We start from the raw sequence: 6,870 nt of genomic DNA on the forward strand, positions 1-6,870 counted from the left end.
CTCTGCCACTACTGCCACACATGTACAAATCCGCTTAACAGATCTCCTTCTTTAAAATGGGACATCTTATCTTTCCTGAAATATATATATTTTTTGAGACAGGGTCTCTTGTTCTGTCACCCAGGCTAGAGTGCAGTGGCATGATCTCGGCTCACCACAACCTACAACCCAGGGTCAAATGACCCTCCCGCCTCAGCCTCCTGAGTGGCTGAGACCACAGATGCATGCCACTACTCCCGGATTTTTTTTGCCTTTTTGGTAGAGACAGGGTCTTGCCTTGTTGCCCAGGCTGGCCTCAAACTCCTGAGCTCAAGCAATTCACCCACCCCTGCCTCCCAAGGTGCTGGGATTACAGATGTGAGCCACCACACCCAGCCTTCCTGAAATATTCTTGATAATTATAGTTCCTGAACAGTTTTCCCAAGCTGTTCTAGCCATCCCAAGAATGTTGGCAGGCTTCTCCATATGTTTGGAGGTGTAACTATAATGGTTCCTGGGTTTCAAGCTCCAGTCTCCATCTCCCCTCAGGTGCTTGCTTTCCCATAAGTTTCCATCTGACTACTAGAATATCAGGGGATTTCCATAAAGACAAGACTTTGATCTTGGCAACCCTTTGGTAAATAGCCAGGGTTCTCAATCTTTGTGCAGCACCAAGGTATTTTTAAGATCTCTGTTAGTTTAGTCTCAGTGTTGTAATTCAATCTAAATAAACAACGAGGCTATCTGCTGGAGAAAAGGATGAATCTAACAGCAATGCCACCAGCATGCCCTCTTCCCAGAATAACTCCACGCTAGCCATTGGAGCTTCTTTAGGTATATAAGAGCCCTTTAGGTTGGTAACCTCACTGGTGTGTGTATAGATTAAAACCTTGACCTATATCTCCTCTCCCTTACTTGAATGTTTGACTTTACTTTGGGGGCAAAAGTTTGGATTGTTAGGGGACTATATGCTTTATATACTCTTCTATGCAATAGAAAGAGATTATATTAATTCACTCATTGAGCTTTCACAGTAATATAAACCATATTAGGCTTGTCATTCTGTCAGTGATGGGTGTAAGTTTGTGGCTTTTATTACTCATACCATCCTCTGACAAAGGCATCCTATTTCTCTTTCCAATTTCACAATAAGGTGCAGAAGAAGGTCTTTACCATCTGTTAAAGATGTTCAGGGCCGGGCATGGTGGCTCACACCTATAATCCCAGCCCTTTGTGAGGCCTAGGTGGGTGGATCACTTGAGGTCATGAGTTTGAGACCAGCCTGGCCAACATGCTGAAACCCCGTCTCTACTAAAAATGCAAAAATTAGCCAAGCATAGTGGTGCATGCCTGTAGTCTCAGCCACTTGGGAGGCTGAGGCATGAGAATCCTTTGAACCTGGGAGATGGAGTTTGCAGTGAGCCAAGATGGTGCCTCTGCACTCCAGCTTGAGTGACAGAATGAGACTGTCAAAAAACAACAACAACAACAAAAGATGCTCAGGAGAGATGTTTTGTAGAGAGGAAGATATTCCCTAGTACCCATAAATCATCTCAAGGAGGTGGTCATATCTTTCCTAGTGCTAGAAAAGCCCTATTCAGAAACCTTCAGTGTTTTTCCACCTCCTGTCAACCTGCCTTATACTTCCTGTATCTCCATATGGGAGGCATCCCTGTGGAGTTTGCTTAGCACTTGGCCATGCTTTGTTTGAAACCTTAAAAGCTCTTAAAGGAAGTTGCCTTATGTTCCCTGATGAGAAGATGAAGTTGGCAAAAGAATGGTGAAAGGCAGGGATCTTGATGAGAGGCCCCTGACTATCCCTTTAGTGATCAGCATTCTTCATTTCCCGTCTCATTCCATGTCCTGGTGGAATGGCTGCAGAAGATGAGATCCAGAGACAGCGGTAGCACCTGAAGGAGACCCTTTTCATCAACAACTGCCTGTGAGAAAAGCTGGAATGTCATCTCAGCAGCTTTGATGAAGAAAATGGTGGGAGAGGCCCAAGTCAGTGCTTCTGGCAATATGTATTTTTCTAAAGGCATGTGACTGGGGCAGAGTTTTATAGATTTCAAGCACTTTGACATACTTTACTTCACTTATTCATTACAAATGTCCCAGCTAGAGAGGTAGGGCAGCTACTATCATTCCTATTTATAGGTAAATAAATAGGCTTAAAGATTTGCCTCCAACTTAGAGGTATCTACCTCTAAAATCATTCTTGTGATTCCTAGGCTGTCTTCTGTCTTCTATCTGCTGCTGTACACTGCCTGCTGTCTCTCTGCTTCTTATGTGATTGGCATTCAGTAGAACCCAGGTTTCTGAGCACCTCATGTAGCAGAATGAGAGTCTCCTCTGCTGCCATACTCATCAGCTTCCCTTATGTCTCGGTTACTCTTCATTCTACCACCCCAAGGTGGTTCTCTCCAACCCCCCTCCTCTTAGATTGTTCTCACACAGAGGCCATCATTTCATAACATTGTGCTGGGCCGGAAGAACCATAACCAGGTCCCTTCCCATACCAAAGCAGTAACTATTTTGGAAAAGCCTCCTTCATATTGCAGCCATTGGACATGATAATACATGTGATGTGCTGGAATTTGTTAAGAATCATGTGAAAATTAAGCTTCTGCCCCGTCGCACTAAAGTTCCAGCCCTGAGTCCCCATGGTTTTCTCCCTAGGCTAAGATAGAGAGGAAGAACATGAAATATGCAGAAAGCATTCTCTTAAGCAAACGTGTATAATTTGCCTAAATTGTAATTATTTCCTGGAACAGCATGCACCTCTAAACTCTACAGGCACATCATAGATTCCATCGTCCAGCTGTATAATGAAAACAGAGTTCTCAGAGAACACCGGAGACTCCCCCGACTTGCCTGAATCAAGTTTCTAGAGGTAAGCGGTGAAAATCCACAATATGAAGTCACTCTCAGACGGGTCCCTTCTCTTGTCACACTCCACTGTAGAAACAAAAGAGGACGGGGAAGCCAGAGCTGCTCAAAACCTTATAACCCACAATTGTCATAGTTATTCTCAACTTACACAGGGCTGCTTTCTAGACGCACCCCCTCCAGGCCCCCAGACTGCCAGGCTCCAGGAATAAGTAGCTCTGAGAAATATAGTTTTTCGGTGGAAGCCACACTCCACTATTGCAAATTGGAGAAGAGAAGGACAAACTTAAAAGGTGAAAAGATTTAAGAGAACAACATGGTGAAACCCCATCTCTACTAAAAATACAAAAATTAGCTAGGCGTGGTGACATGCACCTGTAGTCCCAGCTACTCAGGAGGCTGAGGCAGGAGAATCATTTCAACCTGGGAGGCGGAGGTTGCAGTGACCCAAGATTGCTCCACTGCACTCTAGCCTGGGTGACAGAGCAAGACTCCCTCTCAAGAAAAAAAGAAGAAAGAAAGAAAGAAGAAAGAAAACAATTGTTTTAGTTGAATACATTTTGTCAAGATTAAATCAACTTTCCCCTAGGGTACTGATAGAATAAGCAATCATAATTTAGATTCTAACTTACTGGTCTTTGAGAAATTGTGAAAACAAAAAAGGTGCCATAAGCCAAAAAAGGAGCAAAAGTCCTAATTTTCAAGCTGATGAAAATAAAGAATGAAAAAATTGAAATCGTCATAGTTCATCTTGGTCCTTGGCAAAATACAAATCTATTGATTGAAAATATAATATCCTAGCTACCTTATTGTGCCTAGCTCTTACCACTGAGGAGAAAAACCAAACGCAAACAAAAGTATGTTCAAATTGGCAAAAATGTTTACAAACCTGCAAAATCTCTTCAGCCTATCCCTCAAACTCCAGACTTGGTATTTACTAAGCTCTGCTGTGTACAATACCCACCTTAATATCCATTCTTGCACAAGTTCTGTTAGGTATAAGCCAAGATCACATGGGATTTTTTTTTTTTTTTTTTTTTTTTTTTTTTACCCTCTCATGCCTATGTCTGCTTTTGCTTCCAAAGACCCTTCTGAGTAAGGACTGTCCTCAGACTACTGGAGTCATTTAGTCACAAGCTTGCCTGAGGCTCAGAGCTGGCAATACCTGGGAGTTTATGTCAATCCCACAGCACCCAGCAACCTTGCCTGCAAATTATTTACCCATGATTGACAGGTGCAGGTGTATGAAAGTCCAGCTCCTTGACTTGAGGGGTGCCTTTGTGGTGAATTAGCTTTGGGAAAAGGGAATCCAGAGGCCAACTTTGTAAAACTCCAGATAGATAAATGGAAAGAAATCTTTGCCTTGGAAGTCCAGTTGAGAAAGATAGTGATTTACTTCAGACTGTGGAAAGAGAGACTAAAATCTTTACTTTCTCATGGGAAAGAAGCCTATGGTGAAAGAGAAACAAAGAGAATGGTGGGAAATAGGGTGGGTCTACTCAGTAGCTTTAAACCATTCTGTCATATTATAAAGCCTGGTGAGGTTTTAACACAAGTGCCTGGACTCTACACCTAGAGATTCTGATTTAAATGCTTCCAGGTGGGTGGAAGCCACTAGTAGTCTTAAAAAGCTCCCAAGTAATTTTCACATGTGGCTAGAGATGAAAAGGACCATCTATCTATTAGAATGTCAAGTCGCCAACATAGAAGTGTCCCAAATGTACCGCTACCTCATAGAAAAGGCTTAACACCACCCATTGATGGAATTTTCCTTCCTCTCGCCATGGTTTTGTTTGCATAGCATGGAAAAAAGAGAAGAGAAAAAGAGGTAGATGGATAGATTGAACCTATAATTTGCCTATGTAGAGCAGTTTCTCAAACTTATCTGACCACAAGATGCAGTGAGAAATATACAATTCTTTGTGATCAGTTTTTAAAAAATCTTTCATTATGTGTAATCCAACCTTCCTAGTATTTAAATAAAGCCTGTAGTAGCAAGCAGTCCACTATATTGATTTCACAACCCATAACTTGTTCAGAATTGCAATTAAAAATTTTTTTTGGCCAGGCTTGGTGGCTTGAGCCTGTAATCCCAGCACTTTGGGAGGATCACCTGAGGTTGGGAGTTTGAGATCAGCCTGACCAACATGGAGGAACCCCATCTCTACTAAAAATACAAAAAAAAAAAAAATTACCTGGGTGTGGTGGTGCCTGCCTGTAATCACAGCTACTTGGGAGGCTGAGGCAGAATTGCTTGAACCCTGGGGGTGGAGGTTGTGGTGAGCCAAGATTGCACCATTGCACTCCAGCCTGGGCAACAAGAGCGAAACTGTTTCAAAAAAAAAAAGCAAAAAGAAAAGAAAAAGAAAGAAAAAAAGAAAAAAATTTTTTTCACTTCTGCTCAACCTTTTTATCAAGCAAAATCTCAAAAGAACATTTACTGTAAAAGAACATTGACAACAAACATCTTTCTGTGAATCCTTATTTCTGTCCCAGCCACCATGACCCAATAATCTCTAGAGCCTGTTAGTGTTCTCCAGATTGAAGCCTTCCCTCTAACTGCTCCTAAATCTGTGATGTAGTGGAAAAAGTTTGAGGCCTTGATTCTCATCCCAGGTTTTTCACCTACAGATCATATGGCCTTAGCCTCTTGACACCATTGTCTCCTTATGGCCAAAGATGGAACTGTACTTGGGTGGTATCTGAGCACCCTGTTGGCTTTGACATTCTAGGGCCCTTCCCTTGGCACCACTCTCTTATTTAAAAGGAATAGGATGTGGACTTAGGAGGGTTATTTCTCTGCAAACTATCCTCTCTTTCTTATGACAGCTATTTCTGAATGTGCACATTTGAGGCTAAGCAAATCCCTTCCTGGGAGGCGTGAAAGACCTTTATTTCTCTGCAGAGGAGTATTATGGAAAGTCAGTTGATGCTGAGGAGGTGGTAGAGACCTAGCTAACTCATCTGCAGCGGCTTTGAGCAAGGCTTTTAGAATCATAAGGTGGCTGGGGTCCTGTGTCCTACACCACAGGCCAGCTAGTTCATTTCAGGAGACTTTCTTTTCTATCTATTATTACTATCTTCTTCTAGACTGTAGTTCACTACCAGAGATTATCCACTTAGCTGCACTCAGTTTGCACCTGGCCTGTATCACCACTTAGCTCTCACTCCAGCCTCAGTTAGGTATCAGCAAGACCTCACCAAAGATTATTGTTTCATTGTATATGTGTGTGTGTTTTTGTTTGTTTCAGGTAACAACTGATGTTGGAACTATGAAAAGCTCTTCTCTACTTTTAACAAAGCTTAGTCACAAACAGTTCCCCAGTTGACGAGAACAACTAAAACAACAGAACAATTGAAAGTCCAAATTTGAAAGCTCCATCTCCGAGAAGCAAATTTTACAGCCACTCCAGATTTGTATTCCAAATGGATAGTTTGATTATAAAAATCACATCCCTTCAGCCTGCAAATGTGATAACTGCCCAAGAGACAGTGATGCCTACATCCATAGATAATCCCCTTTCCCCCAACCTATATATAACTGGAGTCAACAGCAGCTGGAGGAAAATGGCAAGGACTTGTAATCAAGATTAAGTTAGAAAAACACTGCTGTAGACTGTTTATCAGCTCTTCAGCATATGTCCGTTTTCCTTGAAGGATGAGCGTTTAGAAACCTCTGACAATAAAGTTTATTTTACACACATTCTCTTGCCTATCATTTTTTTTGTACAAATCACAATTATAAAACTTTCTTGCTCCAGCTAAAAGCAGGAAACTCAGTCACAAATGTGTTCACTACATGTATACCACAGAATGATAGCAACCAGTCTGATTGCATCACTTGATTCCAAAATTAAATGTTAGCACTCAGTAGTGAAACTACATGTATCTCCAACTCTGGAAGCCACAGGCAAGATACTCCTGTTTCCTGCAGGGAAACAGATCTATAAGCAGGGCAGCAGTCTCACACATGTACACTCCTGTGAAATCCAAGGAAATAAT

The 6,870-nt window shown here is 42.0% G+C and overlaps 1 long non-coding RNA gene and 1 pseudogene across 11 annotated transcripts in view; one reads left to right on the forward strand and one right to left on the reverse strand.

Annotated features, from left to right (window-relative positions):
* PDE4DIPP6 (PDE4DIP pseudogene 6) overlaps window positions 1-6,571 on the forward strand; it is a 30,041-nt pseudogene extending 23,470 nt beyond the window's left edge. For 6 of the 10 annotated variants that reach the window (NR_168363.1, NR_168362.1, NR_168366.1 and 3 more), the window contains 3 exons: window positions 1,861-2,017; window positions 2,754-2,872; window positions 6,120-6,571. The product of NR_168363.1 is annotated as a PDE4DIP pseudogene 6, transcript variant 3 (transcript). The remainder of the gene's footprint in view (window positions 1-1,860; window positions 2,018-2,753; window positions 2,873-6,119) is intronic. The other 4 variants (NR_168364.1, NR_168369.1, NR_168370.1 and 1 more) reach the window with 2 other exon arrangements.
* LOC124904400 (uncharacterized) lies at window positions 2,699-5,197 on the reverse strand. The gene is made up of 2 exons (XR_007066563.1): window positions 5,064-5,197; window positions 2,699-2,937 (listed from the first exon to the last, which is right to left on the reverse strand). It is a non-coding gene; the product is annotated as an uncharacterized LOC124904400 (long non-coding RNA).
* Window positions 6,572-6,870: the final 299 nt, after the last annotated feature.

The sequence above is a fragment of the Homo sapiens genome, chromosome 1 (assembly GCF_000001405.40).
Source record: "Homo sapiens chromosome 1, GRCh38.p14 Primary Assembly".
Lineage (NCBI taxonomy): Eukaryota > Metazoa > Chordata > Mammalia > Primates > Hominidae > Homo > Homo sapiens.